We start from the raw sequence: 19,647 nt of genomic DNA on the forward strand, positions 1-19,647 counted from the left end.
TTGAGCGGCAGTGGATCATCATATAAAGATCTTCGTCCTTATTGTCTTCATGTTGCGTAGGCTGAGTAGGAGGAGGAAGAGGAGGGACTGGTCTTGTTGTTCTGGGGTTACCGAGGTGAAAGAAAATCTGTGTATAAGTGGACCTGGGAAGTTCAGACCTTTGCAGTTCAACTGCATTTGATTTCCTTTTCAAGTACCTCAGATGTCTGGCTTAACAGTTAAAATTTCAGTGTAACAATAATTATAAATTTATGAGTATTATTATTTAATAATTCTTATATATTTACTAGTTATGCTAAAATTCTAAAATTTCTAATTCTAAAATTCTCTTAAATGTTCTAATACTGTGTCGTAAGTCTGAATTAATTGCTGAGTTATAAACTTTGGATTGGAGTTATATTAAACATTGCAGTAAAAATACCAAATACATTCACATTTTTTTCTAACACATCAAATATTAATATTATGATTTTAATTAATCTTCTGAGGATTACAGCTCTATATCCATTTCAGGAAGCCTGTTACCAGCCCATTTAACTTGAGGTAATGTACTCACTAAGGAACAGTGTTAATTGAGGTTACCTCTGGAGCCTGGAATTCTGTTTGGCTTCTTGTTGGTGACCTGGTAGGACACAGTGAGTCCGACTGTAGTTGCCGTCCCAGGTGATTCATTTACTTTAAAGAGCCTGGCCCCTGACTTCCAGTGATTTGATAGTGTCTGATTCTTGTATGCACTCACAGAAATCTACAGCAGGCACTGGATTGATCATTGGATTGTATCTTTCATCTCTTTGACTCATAAGATGTGAAAATGCCTTTTCCTCTTAAGTCTTTTATTTTCTTAAAACCTAGAATTCTGTTGGATATTTAAGATGATACCTGGTTGAGTTTTGGATACAACTCATGTTTTTATCTGATTTATGGTCTCTCCTGATAGTCTGGCAATACCTGTTAACATTTTAAAACGTATATTCACATAATCTTTTGTGACTCAAACGGATAGAAGAAGTAGTACTATATGTAGATATTTGTACAAAAGGTTTTTGGTAGCATTGTTTATTGTGGCAAATATGCTGGAACAATCTACTGTGTGGGTATGGTTCAATAATTTATAGTGTATTTTCTTCTTATTTACTTGGTTAAATCATCTAAAATTATATGTGTACATTATATTAAAACATAGCCAACAGTTAATGTTTATTTATAATAACTATTTGACTATCAGTCATATGTAGGCACCGGTTTAGGTACTGGAATTGAATCAGTCACTACAACAGGCAAGAATCTCTTTTTTTCATGGAGCTTACATTTTAGTAGGGTGGGAGACAGATGAAAAAAGCAATGGCTAAGTAGTATGTTAAACTGTGATGACTGCTACAGAAAAGGAAAGGAAGGGTAATCAGGAGTACTGGGGGCTCGGGTGTGTGTGTGAGGATATTAAATAGGGTAAGTGTCACTGAGAATGTGACACGTAAGTAAAGACCTTGAGTTGAGGGAGTGAGCTGTGTGTCTCTCTGGGGGAACAGCCAGTTCAGGGGACAAGAAGGGTAGCCAAGGAGTGTGTTGGTGGTAGCAAGAAAATAAAAATCTTTTAAAAAGAGTATCCATATAAATAGAGAAGCTGGAGGTTAAAAAATTGGATGAGTATTTTTTTTTTTAATTTGGCAAAATAGCGTGAATAGTATATGTTGAAGGAAACGCTAAGTGGGTGGTGCAGGGGAGAGAGGAAGACTTGCTTGAGCACATCGGGAAGTAGGACAGGAAGGGTTCTCTGTTTGCCTTGTAGGTTCTAATTGCCATGGCAATAATATAATTGCTGTGGCCGCTGCGGTAGGCAGGAGGGCTGCCTGTGAAGTCAGGATCACCAGGCTTTGTGGCTTCAAGGAGGCCAAATCACCATGGGCTTGCTTGGGCTTGGAGGTGCGACCTGGTGGGCCTGCAGAATGCGACTTGGTGGCCTGACTGAGCAGCACGTGAGGGCCTGGTGCAGCCTGGCATGGTGGTACCCTTGAGAGCGTGGCCTAGAGGGCTCCGAGGTGCAGCCTGGCCAGTGTGGTCTGGAGGGGTCTGGCAAGCGCTATCTGGAGCACTCAGAGGTGTGGCCTGTTTTTCCGGGTGGGTCTAGTGAGTGTAGCTTGGAGTGCTGGGTGGTGTGGCCTGGCTGGCACCGAGGTCCCTGCGGATTCTGGAGAACCTCAAGGTGCGGCCCCGGGGGTGTGGCCAAGTGTGGTGTGTGGAGGGCCCTTGTGTGCAGCCTGGTGGTTCCTGTGAGCATGGTTTGGAGGGCCTGGTGAATGTGTCCTGGTAGGCCTGGTGAGTGTGTGAGCATGGCCTAGAGTGTCACCAAACCAAAGTGGACCCGCCTGCCTGTGCACCAGGGAAAGCCAAACACCAAAGCGCAGGGTTTTTGCTGGAGAGAGTGGACTGCACTGCGACGAGACAGGAGGAAAGGTCAAACCTGTCTCCCCAAGCTGGCGGCTGGGTCGGGTTTTATAAGCATAAGCTTATTACCATAAGGTAATGAGGTGTGTTCTGATTGGATCTTGCAATTAGATGACACCAGGGCTCTATCTGATTGGATCCTGGATCTTGCCATGTGGTGTGCGCTTCTTATTTCAGTCCCGCTCCTCAGTCCAGCGCTTAGGTTCCTCCCGTGTTGCAAGCTTGGTTCATCTGTGCAGGCTCCGGTGACATGATGTCGAACTGGGAGCCATGGCAGCTGAAAAACAACGAACAGCTTTGTACATAAAAGATGATACAGCTTGGTCTAATGTGGTTCTAAGGAGGCTCTGCCGGCGAGTCTTAGGGGTTCCGGCGGGCAGCCGCGTGAACCTGGAGCTTGGGGTCTGCAGTGCTGGGAGGCCGAGGCCTGGCATGTTGGGGACAGGTCTTGGGAGCTGACTGGGGGCCTGGCGTGGTGGCGGCAGCCCGCAGTCCCTGCCTGGCCCTTGTCTGGGAGGCCGCGGTTCTCTGCGGCCTCTCGCCGGTGTCGCCCTTGGCCACTGGGCTGCGAGGAAGCCGGCGAGGAGTGGGTGTGCGCCCCGCCCGGCTCTACCGGCGAGGGATGCAGTGGCCGCCAGCGTGGCCGTGCGGCTGGGTCACTCCCTTCCCGCTTCCAGGGCCTTTTTCTGCCTCCTTTTCAGGACGTGACCCGCACATTATGAGGGACCCGTAGGGGCTCTTGACACAGAGGGGTCACCCTATGTGTGAACAGGTTACGAGGTTGGGGGCTTGGCTTCTGAACTTGCCAGGAAACACCGCATCCCTTTTCCTGCAGCGGCCGCCCCCCATCCCCCACCCGCCCCATTCTCTCCCCTCCCCAACTGCAGCCTTCCGCGCCTCCTTGGCCCCTCGAGCCTCCCTGGGTCCCCTGCACCTCCCCATGTCCCCCACGACTCCTAGGCCTCTCGCGCTTCCCCAGGACCCCGCGCATCCTGGGCCTCTTGCGCCTCCCCGGTCCTCAGCGCCTCCTCGGCCGCCGTGCCTCCCCGCACCTTTTGCGCCTCATGGGGCTCCCGGTGCCTTCTGCCCGCCGCCTCGCCGCGCCCCTCGCCTCCTCATGCCCCTCCGCGCCCCATACCTCCCCACCCCTGTGCCTCTCTGCCTATCCCCTGTACCACCCGGCATCCTCCGTGCCCCATGCGCCTCACCCCTCACGCCTCCCTGTACCCTGCATGCCCCGTGTGCCTGCTGTGCCCCACGCGCCTCCCCCCTCGCGCCTCCCTGTACCCTGCATGCCCTGTGCGCCTGCTGCGCCCCACGCGCCTCCCCCCTCGCGCCTCCCCCCTTCGCGCCTCCCTGTACCCTGCATACCCCGTGAGCCTGCTGCGCCCCATGCGCCTTCCGCGTCTCCAGCCCTCATGCGCCTCCAGCTGCGCATCTCCCTAGGCGGGTACCTCAGCACCGCTGAGCCCACCCCCGCCCCTGCTCAGTGCCTCCCAGACACGCCCACTGCGGGCGGGACAGTGGGAGCTGTCCAGGCGCGGAGCTGTCCAGGCGCGGGAGCTGTCCAGGCGCGGGAGCTGTCCACGAGGCACTGACCTTGGTTTCAGAGCCTCTGCAGGGCTTCTGTGTCCTTTTGGCTGAGCCGACTGGGCAAAAGTTTTAGAAAAGACCCTGGGTGTTGCAGATGGAGAAGGATGATCGTGGCTGACTTTTGCTTGCAGGCAGAAGAACCACGGGGCCATCAGCCTGGTGCTGTGGGGGCGCGCTGACTCGTGGTCCGCCCCTGCCCCAAGACTTCAGGTGTATATGGGATTGGATCAGCTATCATCCCGAGCTCATGGCACGTACAGTGAGCCATGTGTTAATCCATAGACTAACCTTTTTCCTTTTAAAAAATTAGTTGTTTTGTATAATGTAGCGAGCACTGTTTCCAACAAAAATCTAGGATCTTGGCAGTAACCACTATCTGTTTTACTCTTTCCTCTTTCACTTTTCGCTAGGAGTAATCATTAGCTCCCATCTTGTATTAATTTTTTTTTTTTTTTACTGTATCTAATTTCCAAAAAAAAAAAATCTGTGTGTTTGCAACTAAGTTATCTTCCTATGTGTAACTTTTTGGGACTTAAGTGATAACAGTAATATTACTAAAAATCAACCGTATTGTTGTTTTTCACTGTGGTTTATTCCTTCTGACTGCTGTGATATTTTGTGTGGATCTGCTGAAGTTAATTTATCCACTCTTCTGTTGATGGGCCTTTGGTCATTTCCAGGTTTTTGCTCTTCTGAAGAGCATGAGATATTCTTTCACATTTTCTGCTGTGCATGTTCCATATGTGCATGGTTTTCTCTTTTATATAGACCTGAGTGGAGTAACTAGGTCATAGGGCACACGAATGTTCAATTTTAGGACATAATGTCCTGCTGACTTACATAGTTGTTGAACCAGTTAACATTTCACTAGCAATACAGGAGAGCTCTGAGCCACCTCATGGCTGACACTTGGTATTTAATTTTTGCCAGAGGGATGGTTGTAAATGGTATACCATTTTGGTCTTGATTTGAAATTCCTTGATCACCAGTAACATTGAACATGTCTTAACATATTTATTGATGTACATTTTTCTTTGATTTGCTTGATCATGTCTTGTTCATTTTATATTGGGTTATTGTGTGTGACCTAGATTAGAATTTTTTCTTTTCATTGGATATTAAGATCCACCATTGTGTGGCTAGGAGTGGGTTTTTCCTTCTCTCTCCTTTCCAGCATGGTGTGTGCTTTCTCAGTCAGAGGTAATTCATCGTCCTTTATTTCCTGGAATTATACAGACATTCTTTTCTTGTTTGTTTGCATGTGAATGTGTATGTAGAGATTCTTGATGCTGGTTCTTTGCCAGTTCTGTGTTTTTCCTAGTTTATAACTTACTTCCGTTTTCTTTAAGCTGTTTTTTGATGAGTATAAACTCTTAAATTGAATAGGTCAACCTCATTAATCTTTTTGAGTCTTAAGAAATCTTTCTCTATCTTAAGATTTCTGCCAAGTTTTGAAGTTTGGATTTTGATGTTTACATCTTTAATCCATTTAGACAGGGGTGTCCAATCTTTTGGCTTCCCTAGGCCACATTGGAAGAATAATTATCTTTGGCCACCTAAAATACACTAATACTCATGATACTTAATGATCTAAAAAAAATCACAAAAAAGATCTCATAATGTTTTAAGAAAGTTTACAAGTTTGTGTTGGGCTGCATTCAAAGCCATTCTGGGCTGTATGTGGCCCATGGGCCACGGGTTGGACAAGCTTGTGTTTAGAGTTGATTTTTGTACCCAGTACTGGGTAGGGATCCAATTTTGTCTTTTTCCATATGGAAAACTATTTTGTTTCCAGTTCCGTTTTTATTTCCAGTTCTGTTTATTGAACAGCCTCCTCTTTTCCCTGACCTATTACTTCTGTCATAATCAAAGTTTAATTCACATTTGTGTCTCTGTGCTCTCTCTTCTAGTCGATTGGTCTCTATTCTAGTCTTTTGATCAGTTTATTCCTATGCCAACCCCCATCATGTTGATTTTTACATAGACTTTTTATTCTGGACTGTTACAGTAATGTCCTGGACAAGCAGAGATGTGGTCATTCTACTTGTGGGCCTTTCTAGAGAATGTTGATTTTGTAGCATATGTGATGGGAAGTATTGAAACATTTCAGTGGCTGAGTTATATATCCTGATTTGTATTTTTGAAGATCACACTGGTGCAAGATGGATGAGGAAGTGGGGCTGGCGAGGGATGAGACTAGTGTGGAGGCAGGGGGAGCAGTTAGGTGGCCATTGCTGGAGCGCAGGTAGTGGTTTTAGCGGGAGTAGAGGTGGAGAAATGTGGACAGATTTGAGATGGGCGTATAGCTGTGGACCTTTCTGATGTATAGAATGCAGCAGACAAGGTAAAGATGGCACTTAATGTAATGTAATGGGGATGCCACTCTGAGATGGAAAATTCTGGGAAAGGACAGTTTTATAAATTTATAAGCTATCAGATACATTATAATGCTACTTTTAATTTGCTTTTCCTTGGAAATAGCTGTTTGGTTATGTATGTTTTATAGCCTGTTCACTCTCTTTTCTCTCCAAATAGGTGACTCTGTTTTGAGAAGTGCAACCAGATCTCTCCTGGAATTCAACACAACAGTGAGCTGTGACCAGCAAGGCACAAATCACAGAGTCCAGAGCAGCATTGCCTTCCTGTGTGGGAAAACCCTGGTGAGTCCACACAGGCACTTGATGTATTTCTTTAAAAAAAAAAAGGTCTGCCCCTTGGTGTTCTGGCTGTAGAGGTATTCCAGGAAGAATCAGTGAGCAAACTTAGAAACACAAATAAGAAAAACCCTACCAAATGACCATCATCATCAAGAACCAATAAGTAAACAAATTCTAAACTTGTTACAACTTTTAAGTAAAACATAGACCATGTCTTTTGTAAAACTACAATTCAAAGTGATTACTGTGTTAAAAATCAGTGCACTGTTTAATGTTTAAGTTATAGGCATACTTTTTTTTTCTCTAAAACCTCTTCTTCTAGCATTTCATTTTGATAGGTTTTAGGGCAGCATATTTAGTTTTTTAAAAAATATTTTTCTTTCCTCATTTATATTAAATTAGAGATACCCACATCTATTTAGGAGAAGCCTTGGCCCGTGGGTATGGGGTTCTCAAGTTTTTTGGATATTACCTGGTGTTTAAAGGGGACATAATTGTGTAAATTATTATGATTGTTCTTATTATGGGCATATTGTATGTAATTTGTTGATTTTAATCTTTAGTTTTTGGAAAGGAACTTGCAGTAAATAATTGTTTTAGCTCTTGGGAGAAGGAATTGGTATACAAATTCTATGAATGTTCTTGAATCCCAGTAAGAACCCAATCTTTAGGAAAGTCAGGTTGAGTGAAACTCTGTGGCTACTAAATTGCTTTAAAATATCATTTTAGAATTTGGGACTGTGACTATTGCATCTTCAGGTCCACAGTGTCTTATCTGAAGAACTTTGAAAATAAAACTAATATTGTTAATTTTGGATCCGCATATAAATTGCATCGTTGTGCATATTGAGACCCAAAAAAGAATCTGTTCGCAGCAGCATTAAATGAGATTTATATTACAGAATAAAATATATAGCTCCTGTTTTAACTTCAGCTAATTTCCTTTATGAATTCTGTGTTCACCATACCAGAAATAGAACTGTGAAGGATAACTCCCTAGACTTGCACGTGGGAGTGAAGAGGCCAGTTCCTGCTGTGCTTGTGTCATCCTGCGATGCTGGGGTTGACCTGTTTGTAGTCCACTCTGGTTGCGGTTAACAGGAGGGGCTGCCTTGGAGGGTTGGCGTCTGGTGGGTGTACTAACTTGGTCAGATGCAGATGGGCTCCTCATGGGAGCCTTTTCACGGGAAGCATGAGGTCACGTTTTCTGGCTTTCGTTTGCTGGCATTTGCTTAAGAGAACATTTGGAGTTTGAGAGGAGAATGACTGAGGATTTCTTCCCATGAACTCACTCAATGTACTTGCACAGCTGGGGCGGTAGAATTCCTTTGGATTAGTTACACAAAATCCCAACATGATTTTATGAAGCTTTGGTCTCAGAATTTGCAGATTTGGGAACCTCTTGATGACCCCGTTTAACTAAAGCGGTTGCATCCCCTGCCCTTCTTGCTGCTGCTTTCTTTATTTTAGTAGCCTTTACTGCATTCTCATTTTAAAGAAGAATCTTTACAATGTGTGGTATGGTAACATTATAATTACTATTTTTTTTTAATAGGGAACTCCTGAATTTGTAACTGCAACAGAATGTGTGCACTACTTTGAGTGGAGGACCACTGCAGCCTGCAAGAAAGACATATTTAAAGCAAATAAGGAGGTAACATGGGAACTTCAAATTACATGCTTATGAAGTATACTCTGGGGAACTTTATCTTTCAAATACTGATTCTAACCTTTCCGGGTGAAAATCTTTTTTAGCTTCCAAATTGCATTTGAGCAGAGATACCATGTGATTTAATTTTTAAAACTTTTCTGAGTGGTTCTTATTTTTAGGACAGGGCATTTAAAATATCACAGGATGTGATTTTTGGTCCAGATTGGAAATAGAATGGCTCATCCATATAGGGCAAGTTAGTTCTTGGTTTCTGGTGCTGTGCAACTCAGTAAACTAAGTGACGTGTTTGGGCTTGGGCTTAGAGTATTCACTCTACCTGCAGGAGCCATCTGTTTCTGACGCTGCCTGCTTCATCTTCCTTTGCACCTGGCTTTCCACCTGTGTTGTACCCCGCTTTTGATAAGTCTCCTTTACCTGTTTGCATTGTTAAATCTCTCTGTCCCTCTCCTCAGCCTTGGGATGACTTCTGGCTGCAATGTGAGTCCAGGTCAGGTATCCCTTAAATTCTTTTCCAGCTCACCTCAGAGACTAGATTACTAGGTTACTGTTACTATTACGTCCACCCCTTATTATTTGAACCCAGCATTCCTTGGTCAAGACATTCTTCTTGGGTGCATGTATGTATATATATCTATATACATACACACTGACCTATATGTATTATGTGCAACATGATATTTTGAAATATGTATACATTGAGGAATGGCTACATTGAGCTAATTACATATGTGTTACCTCACATATTTCGTTTTTTTTTTTTTTTTTGTGAGGACTCTTAAAATCTACTCTCTTAGTGATACGCAAGAATAAATTACATTGTTATTAACTGTGGTTGTGGTGGTGTTTAATGGATCTCTTGGGCAGGTCATTCTTGTTGACTAATGGAATGTCCCCTTCCCCAGCCTGGATTCCCTCATGTTGCACTGCTACTTGATTCTCCCTGGTCCTGGGGAAGAGCAGACTGTGTTCCTTCTGCCGCTTCTCCATGCCCACCACCCCAGATCCTAAAGGGAATTTCCTGTTCTCACCTTGATAACAATCTTAATTAATTGATTATCTCACTTTTCTCTCCTACTTTCTGTTTTTAAGAACTTTCAAAGGTTGTAAGGATTCAGGAACTAATGAATGGTCATAATCAGTAATTTTTACTAGTGGCCTAATACCATGCAGTTTAATAAGACAAAAAGAAATGTTTATTTAAAAACATTAATTCAGATTAAATTATGAACAATAAATCACTGATATTTTCAGATATGGTCATCTATGAAGGGAAAGACAGTGTCATATGGAAGTGGAAGTGGTAAAATACTGCCCAGGAAAGCCATAAGGAGCATTCAATGAAAAAAAAAAAGTTTAAAGTGGAAAGAATTAAGGCTGATATTTAGGAGACAGTGTCAAATGTAAGCTTCATTTAAAAACTTAGGTGAAGCTGTTAGATGACATACTGTTAGCGGTGGGAAAAGCATCTCAAAGCAGACATCTGTTTGGGGTTTGGGGGTGAGGGTGGGAGCACAGTGTGTTCATTCTCGCAGTGCTATAAAGAAACACCTGAGACTGGGTAATTTATAAAGAAAAGAGGTATAATTAGCTCACAGTTCCGCAGGTTGTAAAGGAAGAATGGCAGCATCTGCATCTGGAGAAGCCTCAGGAAACTTACAGTCATGGCAGAAGGCAACAGAGTATCGAGCACCTCACGTGGCCAGAGCCTGAGGAAGAGAGTGGGAGGGGGAGGTGCCGCCCACTTTGAAATGACCAGATCTCACAAGAACTCACTCACTATCATGATAATAGCAAGAAGGGGGTGATGGAATCTGCCCTCATGATCCAGTCACCTCCCCAGGCCCCGCCTCCAATGTTGAGGATTACAATTTGACACAAGATTTGAGTGGGGACACACAGTCATCCTGGGATTACAGGCATGAGCCACCATGCCCGGCTAATTTATATATATATATATATATTTTTTTTTTTTTTTGTTTGTTTGTTTGTTTATTTGTTTGTTTTGTAGAGACGGGGTTTCTCTATGTTGGCCAGGCTGGCCTTGAACTCCTGACCTCAGGTGATCCGCCTGCCTCGGCCTCCCAAAGTGCTGGGATTACAGGAGTGAGCCCCTGCGCCTGGCCCCACACACAGTCATCCTCAAGTGTCCAGTTGGCCGGATCTGAGTTGCTTCCTGTGGGAGGTGGAGGCTGCGGTGACAGTGGTGCCCTCTGCTCTCCTGTTAGACCCCAGACCTCTCAGTCCCACAGATACTCTCCTGGGCTCTGATTTTCCAACCTGATCATGATACCCTTTTTGTTTTGTTTTGTTTTTGTTTTATCTGAGTGTACCTCTTATGTCACGTTGCTGAATTGACAGTTGTGTCTTCTACCACCTAGGAAAAAATTGCTTTCCAAAATAAAATGAATAGCAACTTGTTTTCAATGGGTCAGAAATCACCAACTACAGCCCATGGTTCAAAGCCTGCCCTGGCCTGTTTTTGTACAACCCCAGGACTAAGAATGGTTTTCACATTTTTACAGGATTGTTACAAAACAAAGAGGAATATGCCACAGAGACCTATGTGACCTGCAAAACCCAAAATGTAGATACCACATGGTTCTTTGTAAAAAAAAAAAAAAAAAAAAAAAGGTGCTGATCTGTGTTCTAAATAGTTTTTGGGGTGGGAATGGGGAGGTATAGTCTGTGTTTTTCTCAAAACAATGACATTTAATTTCTCTTAGAAGCAGATTGAAGATGCATGAGAAACATTTGTACTTTGTACTCTCTTACCTCTTCAGGTGTAATTGGCAGCTGGGGCTTTATTCATTGAGTTTTCATTTATTGAGAGCCTATTGTGAGCTAAGCAGTAGGAATTTTGTTAAATTTTGGAATGCTTTCAGGGAGCCTATAGACTAATGGTGTGAAGGACATATCCATATTCATTAACTCATTTTTTTTTGTCTTATGGATAGATTAAATGGAAAGAACTGAAAAGCATAATGACTGCTAAAAATGTAGTGCTGTCACTGTTAGCAAATCTTAATAAAGCGTATGCCCTTTTTTCTGCTTTCAGTTTGATTTGATTACACCTTACAGGCTTGGTATGATAAGTTTAAAACATATTGAAGGTTTATGTACTTATAAAAACCTCATCATTCCCTAAAGAAAAAAAATCTCAATTTGGTTTAGTGTCATTGTAGTCTTGCTTTCTACATCTTACTAATGTCTCATTTATTTATTCATTTTGCTCTGTCACATTTAGAATGATTTTGATGGGCAAAAATCATGGTAGTTACAAACAGCCCTTTAAAACTATTGTTATACTTTGTTCAGTGGATTCTGGTAGAGGCTTTAAGGTAATTATTTCTTTAAAGCATTGTGTAAATATACCTCCTACTGTAGTGCCCTTGGGAACAGGCAAAATTCAGAACTGGCCTGCTAGCAGTCTTACCAGGGTTATAAAAGTAAGATTATTATATATAAAACAGCATTAACTCAATGCGTGGTGTGTTGCAGCTGGCAAACAACCTCGCTCCCCAGGCTGCTAAATTCGTGGTCTTATGAATGTCTCCATTGCTGTGTTTGCTGTAGCAGGAAGTGGGAGGGTGTTCCCCAGTAGCCTTGACTGTTTACCAATGCACACTCCAGTTCTGTGGAGTGCTGTGTGAGGCATGTCTTCTCTTCCCTCCTGGAGTAGGGAGACAGCCAGTAGTTGCTACCTGCCCCGAGCAGGGTGCTTGCAGATCTTGCCTATGTGGAATCCTCTAAGTGTCTTGGTGAAATGCAGCTGTTTTCAGAATGAAGAGTTCTTTCATTTTCCCTTCTTGCCATATGCCATCTTGCTCCCTTTTCCATCATAGGCTTTTATTTTGCTGGTTAGAGAATTGCATCTTGTCTTGCATCCTACCCAGTCCACTGACTCACTCCCCTCTTGGGTTAATGTTTTCATATGATCTTGCTGTGGGATGACAAGCTTTAGATTTGCAGGATAATGGGCACTTGTGGCTTTTTACTGTAACCCAATTATAGTCTGTGGCAATAATTTTCTTTTAGTTGCCTTTCTGCATGAATCTGGTGGTAGGCTTAAGCTCCATGTGCTGGTACCCTCTGAGCACTAGAGGTTCTAACTTCCTCCATTATTAGTAGAAACACTTAGGTGTCTGAGAAGTATTTTAGGCGACAGGCAACTTTGCTTTGAGGATATGGTCAAAATGAGTTCAAGTGCCTTTGAGGCTGTGAGTAGGTGTAGGTCGTTTGATTCACTCTATTAGCTCTCCATGAATCTCTGACAGCAGGACTGGGGAAAAAGGTTAGTGGGTTAGAGCATTCCTGCAGATTTGATAGCCTATTTCTAAGAGAAATTTGAAAGCTAAATATTAAGCAGTTAACTTTTGTAAATAGACCTGTCTGTGAATTGCTTCAGTCTAAAAGATAAAATTTTGGGAAACTTATCCACAGAAAATAATAAAACTATCTACTTTGAAATGATTTCAGAGAACATGAAGTTTTAGAATATTCTTTGGAAGAGGTAATTAAAATGATGCCAGTGTATTATTTTGGAAATAAAACTTACAGGAATGTTTCACATAGTCATGGTTCACTTGGTGACCAGGGCCTTTTTTACTCTGGGGGGGATTCCTTTCTGGGCTTGAGTTCTTGCTGTGATGCGGAAGTTGGGTGCCCCTACTTCATGAAACTGTACCGCAAAGATGTGGGTGCCCCTACTTCATGAAACTGTACCGCAAAGATGTGGGTGCTCCTACTTCATGAAACTGTACCGCAAAGATGCGGGTGCCCCTACTTCATGAAACTGTACTGCAAAGATGTGGCCTCAGAGCCATGGTTTCTGTCCTGGGCAGGGAGTCTTGCAGCCTGGGGCAGTTTCACCATCTGAGCACAGACCCTGATATAGTTTGGATTTTGTCCCTCCCCAAATCTCACATTGAATTTGAATCCCTAATGCTGGAGGTGGGGCCTGGTGGAAGGTGATTAAATCATGGGGGTCCCTCATGAATGGTCTAGCACCATCCCCTTGGTGCTGTCCTCATGACAGTGAGTGAATTCTCATGAGATCTGGTTGTTTCAAAGTTTCTGGTTGTTTCACTCTCACCGTCTTGCTCCTGCTTTTGCTGTGAGATATGCTTGCTCCCACTTCACCTTCTGCCGTGAGTGAAAGCTTTTTGAGGCCTCCCCAGAAGCCGAGCTATGCTTCCTGTACAACCTGCAGAACTGTGAGCCAGTTAAACTTCTTTTCTTTATAAATTACCCAGTCTCAGGTATTTATAGCAGTGCAAAAACAACCTAATACAGACTGCTTGGGACTGGGCTGGCTTTTTTGGCCTGCTGCCAGCGATGGGCCACAGGTGGGAGACTCACTGAGTTAAGGGCATTAGAACTTGGTGGGTCCTGCTATTGCCTGCTATGCTGTGGAGCTCAGGCTGCACCTCTTTTTACCATGTGGGCTCTTTGATGTGGTAGAGGCGCCTCTGTCCCTCCCCAGAATGTTGCCCTGGAGGCCCGCTGATCACCGTTGGGGCCAGTGCTTGTCTCAGCTGTTGGAGAGCCTGAATATGTGCTTGCCTGACCCAGCTCCACCCAGCTTTCCTTCCTCAATCTGCCTTGCTGGCAGAACACAAGACAGTGATGCTTAGGTGTCCCATGGCCCCACCCATTGTCTGGGACATGGGAGTAGCCTCCTCGTTAACAAAAGCCAAGCATAAATCCTGTTGCCACCACTGCAGCTGCCTCTTTCCTGCAAGTACCACTTCCTGGCCAGGAGATGAACTTGCGTAGCCCATCTGCTGAGACAAGTGCACAATTGCACAGTGCTACGGCAGGAGACAAGCTTTCCATGACCTCAGTTACCATCATCCCTCACCACACCCTGGCTACTCAGAAGGCCCTGAGCCTGCTCACCAGCCTGGTATATTACTACTACAACTGATGTTTGAGAAAGTCACCACACAAAGCCTATCTATAACCAAGGAATTCATACAGTCTTTGACGCTGAAAGCGTCCAGAAGCAAAGCCAAATAAAACTATGCAACATACATTATAGTCACATTCTCAGGGCGGGGGGAACCCTCTAGTCAAAGCAAAAGTAAATTCAAACCAAAAAGTGACAGTTTCTCTAGATGAGAAGGAAGCAGGGTAACAATTCTGGAAATATGAAAAAGCAGGGTGTTATAGCACCCTGAAGGATCATATTAATCTTCCAGAAACAGATCCTAACCAAAGTGAAATGCTTGAAATACTAGTTAAAGAATTCAAAATATTAATTTTAAAGAAGCTTAATGAGATACATGAGAAAGTTGAAAACCAATACAAAGAGATCAGAATATCAATCCAGGATATAAATGAGAAATTTACCAAAGAGATGTTTTAAAAAAATCAAGTAGAATTTCTAGAAATGAAAAATTTATTATAGGAATTATAAAATTGAGTTGAAAGTTTCAACCATAGACTAGACGAAGCAGAAGGAAGAATCTCAGAACTTGAAGACAGGTCTTTTGGATTAATCCAATCAGGCAAAAACAAAGATTCAAAGGAAATGAACGAAGTGTTTGAGAAACGTGGGACTACATGAAACATCCAAACCTATAAAGCATAGATATTACTAAGGGAGAAGAACAAACAAAATCTGGAAAATGTATTTGAGGACATAATTGATGTAAACTTCTTTAGTTTAGCAGGAGATCTAGACCTCCAAATATAGGAAGCTCAAAAAATTCTAAGGAAATATGTTGCAAGGAGGACTTCACCACAACATATAGCCATGAGACTGTATGAGGTCAACATGAAGGAAAAAATCCTATCCACGAGAAAAGTATCTAATCACCTATAAAGAAAATCCCATCAAACTAATAGGGGACTTCTCAGGAGAAACTTAAGAGCCAGAGAGATTGGGTTTCTCTTTTCAAGGTGCTTAAGGAAAAAAAATCTGTCAACCCTGAATTTTGTATCCTGCCAGAATAAGTTTCATGTATGAAGGAAAAATAAAGTCTTTCTCAGACATGCAAATGCTGAGGGAATTTGTCAGTACTAGATGGACCATACAATTAATGCCCAAAGGAGGTCTATACAGGGAAACAAAAGTTTGATACTTGCTATCATAAAAACACACAAAAGTATAAACACTCTTATAAAACAATTATTCAAACAAGACCACAAAGCAACTAGGAAACAGTTAGCATTATGACAGGAATAAAACCTCACATATTAATATTAACTTTGAATGTGCATGGATTAAATGCTCCACATAAAAGATACAGATTGGGAGAATGGATTTAAAAAATAAAAGACAGAATCCACCCATATGCTGCTTACAAGAAAGCCAGAACTAATTGGTAAAGACATACACTGAAGCTAAAGGGATGGAAAAAGATATTCCAGGCAAATGGAAATCAAAAGCAAGCAGGAAGACCCACCTATACTTAGATAAAACTGACTTTAAATCAACAACAGTAAAAAAAAAGGAAAAAGATGGTCATTATATGATAAAAAGATTATTCAACAAGATGTAACAATCTTAAATATGTATGCATGCAACTCTAGAGCACAAGATTCATAAAACAACTGCTGGTAGACTTCAGAAAAGAAATGGACAGCAATGCAATAATAGAATTCAATCACTGAGAAAGAAAATCAACAAACACGGCACATAAATTGGATTCAGGACCACGTAGACCTAACAGATATTTATAGAACATTCTCCCCACAGCCGCAGAACATATATTCTTCTCATCAGTGCATGGAACGTTTTTCGAGATGGACTATATGTCATACCAAAAAACAAGTCTCAATAAATTGAAAAAAACCAAAATGATACCAAGTATCTTCTCAGACCACAGTGGAATGAAACTAGAAATCAATTCACAGAGAAACTCTCATAACTATACAAATAATTGGAAATTAAATAGCCTGCTTCTGAATGAATTTTGAGTCAACAATGTAGTTAAGATGGAAATTAAAAAAAAATTGAAACAAATGAAAGTGGATACACAGCATAAAACCTGCGGGATACAGCAAAAGCAGGGCTAAGTGGGAAGTTTATAGTGTTAAATGCCTACATCAAAAATAGAGATCACAAATTAACAACCTAATATCACACTTCAAGGAACTAGAAAAAAAAGAAAAAACCAAATTGAAACCTAGCAGAACAGAAGTAACAAATACCAGAGCAGAACTAAATGAAATGGAGACCAAAAAATGCAGTACAAAGGATAAAAAAAATGAGAAGTTGGTTCTTTGGAAAGATAATATTCATAGACTGTTGGTCAGATTAACCAGAAGAGAGAGGATTCAATCAGAAATAAGAAAGTAGACATTACAGCTGATACCACAAAAAAGATCATAAGAGACTTCTGTGAACATCTGTGTACTCACAACTGAGAAAATTTAGAGGAAATGTGTACATTTCTGGAAACATTCAAGTTCCTGAGATTCAACCAGGAAGAAATAGAAATTCCAAAAAGACCAATAACAAGTATTGGGATTGAATCAGTAATTTAAGAAAAACAAAACAAACAAAACAAAACAAAACAAAAACCTCCCAACAAAAAAAGCTCAGGACCAGACAGATTGACAGCTGAATTCTCCCAGAGGCACAGGGAAGAACTAGCACAAATCCTACTGAAACTGTTACCAAAAATCAGAGGAGGGAATCCTCCCTAACTCATTATTTGAAGCCAATATTATCCTGATAACCAAAGCCAAACAAGCACACAACAAAGAAAGAAAACTAGAGGCCAATATCTATGATAAACAGATTCAAAAATCTCAACAAAATACTAGCAAACTGAATGTAACAGCACTTCAGAAAAATAATACATCACGATCAAGTGGGTTTTATTCCAGGGTTGCAAGGATGGTTCAGTGTATGCAAATCAATAAATGTGATTCACCATTTAAACAATTTAAAAAAAAGTCTGACCATCTCAGGAGATACAGAAAAAGCATTTGATGAAATTCAACATCCCTTAATGAAAAGACAACACTCAAAAAATATTAGAAGGGACATACCTCAGAATAATAAAAGGCATATACGACAGAACCACAGCCAGCATCGTACTGAACAGGGAAAAGTTGAAAGCATTTCCCCTAAGAAGTGGAACAAGACAATGATGCCCACTTTTTCATCTCTCCTATTCAACATAGTACTGGAAGTCCTACCTGGGGCAGTCAGGCAAGAGAAAGAAAACGCATCCAGATCAGAAAAGAGACAGTCAACGTGTCTCTGTGTGCTGATGATATGATCTTATACCTAGAAAACTCTAAAGTTTCCTCCAAAAGTCTCTTAGATTTGATACGTGAATTCAGTAGTTTCAGGATACAGAGTCATTGTACAAGAATCAATAACATTTCTACACACCAGTAATGATCAAGCTGAGAATCAAATCAAGAAGTCAATCCCATTTATAATCACTAAAAAAAAAAAACCCACTAGAAATACATTTAGCCAAGGAGGTGAAAAATCTCTACAAGGAAAACTGTAAAACACTGATGAAAGAAATTGTAGATAGCAGAAGTGGGAAAACATCCCATGTTCATGAATTGGAAGAATCAATATCATTAAAATGATTATATTGCCCGAAACAATCCACAGATTCAATGCAATTCCTATCAAAATGCCAACGTCATTTTTTATGGAATTAGAAAAAGTCCTAAAATTCATGTGGTCCCCCAAAAAATCTTAATAGCCAAACCAATCTTAAGGAAAATGAACAAAGCTAGAGGCATCACAATACCCACCTACAGATTTTACTGGAGGGCTATAGTAATCAAAACAGCTAGTACTGATAGAAAAATAGACACACAGATTAATGGAACAGAATAGAAAACCCAGAGTCAAAGCTGCATACTTACAACCAACTGATCTTTGACACAGTTGACAAAAACATACACTGGGGAAAGGACACCCTATTTAGTAAATGGTTCTGGGAAAACTGGACAGCCATATGCGGAAGAATGAAACTGGACCCCTATCTCTTACCACATATAAAAATTAACTCAGGTCGGATTAGCGACTTGAATGTAAGGCCTGCCTGAAACTATAAAATTCCCAGAAGAAAACCCAGGAAAAGCTCTCTCGGATCTTCGCCTAGGCAAAGAATTCATGACTAAGACTTCAAAAGCAAATGCAACAAAAATAAAAATAGAGAAATGGGACTTTATTAAACTTAAAAACTTCTGCACAGCAAAATACATAGTCAGCAGAGTGAACAGACAACATACAAAATGGCCAAAAGTGTTTTTAAACTCTACATTCAACAAAGGATTGATATTCAGAATCTACAAAGAATGCAGACAACTCAACAAGAAAAACCACAATCCCTTTAAGAAGTGAGCAAAGGACGTGAACAAACATTTCTCTAAAGAAGACATACAAATGGCCAAGAATCTCCTAAACATACTCCACATCACTAATCATCAGAGAAATATACAAATTATTATAAAACCACATGGAATACTATGCAGCCATAAAAATGATGAGTTCATGTCCTTTGTAGGGACATGAATGAAACTGGAAACCATCATTCTCAGCAAACTGTCGCAAGGATAAAAAACCAAACATCGTATGTTCTCACTCATAGGTGGGAATTGAACAATGAGAACACATGGACACAGGAAGGGGAACATCACACACCTGGGACTGTTGTGGGGTGGGGGGCGGGGGGAGGGATAGCATTAGGAGATATACCTAATGCTAAATGACGAGTTAATGGGTTCAGCACACCAACATGGCACATGTATACATATGTAACAAACCTGCACGTTGTGCACATGTACCCTAAAACTTAAAGTGTAATAATAATAAAATTAAAAAAAAAAGTTTAGGAAAAAAAAAATAAACTGCATATATGGAACGTAATAAAAAAAAACCCCACAATGAGATACCATCTTATACCAGTCAAAAATGGCAATTATTAAAAAGTCAAAAAACAACAGATGTTGGCAGAGTTGCAGAAAAAAAAGAGAACACTTATACACCATTGGTGGGAATGTAAATTAGAATGACCTTTATGGAAAATAGTATGGAAATTAATCAAAGAACTAAAAATAGAACTACCATTTGACCCAGCAATCTCACTACTGGGTATCTACACAAAGTAAAAGAAATCTGTCTGTCAAAGAGATACGTGCACTCGTCTGTTTATTGTGGCACTATTCACAGTAGCAAAGATACGGAATAAACGTTAAGTGCCCACCAACGGATGACTAGGTAAAGAACACACACACACACACACACACACACACGTCTATCATGGAATACCACTCAGCCGTAAGGCAGAATGAAATCCT

At 41.5% G+C, this 19,647-nt stretch overlaps 1 protein-coding gene and 1 long non-coding RNA gene across 3 annotated transcripts in view; one reads left to right on the plus strand and one right to left on the minus strand.

Moving 5' to 3' along the window:
* IGF2R (insulin like growth factor 2 receptor) overlaps positions 1–19,647 on the plus strand; it is a 142,423-nt gene that overhangs the window by 33,358 nt on the left and 89,418 nt on the right. The window contains exons 3-4 of the mRNA NM_000876.4: positions 6,571–6,695; positions 8,248–8,346. Coding sequence (NP_000867.3) covers positions 6,571–6,695; positions 8,248–8,346 — 224 coding nt within the window. The remainder of the gene's footprint in view (positions 1–6,570; positions 6,696–8,247; positions 8,347–19,647) is intronic.
* Positions 852–5,225, minus strand: AIRN (antisense of IGF2R non-protein coding RNA). Of its 2 annotated transcripts, NR_047511.1 has the most exons (3): positions 4,042–5,225; positions 2,512–2,719; positions 852–948 (listed from the first exon to the last, which is right to left on the minus strand). It is a non-coding gene; the product is annotated as an antisense of IGF2R non-protein coding RNA (long non-coding RNA). The 2 variants fall into 2 exon arrangements; NR_047514.1 differs by having other exon boundaries at positions 852–5,225.

Source organism: Homo sapiens, chromosome 6 (genome assembly GCF_000001405.40).
Source record: "Homo sapiens chromosome 6, GRCh38.p14 Primary Assembly".
NCBI classification, from domain to species: Eukaryota; Metazoa; Chordata; class Mammalia; order Primates; family Hominidae; genus Homo; species Homo sapiens.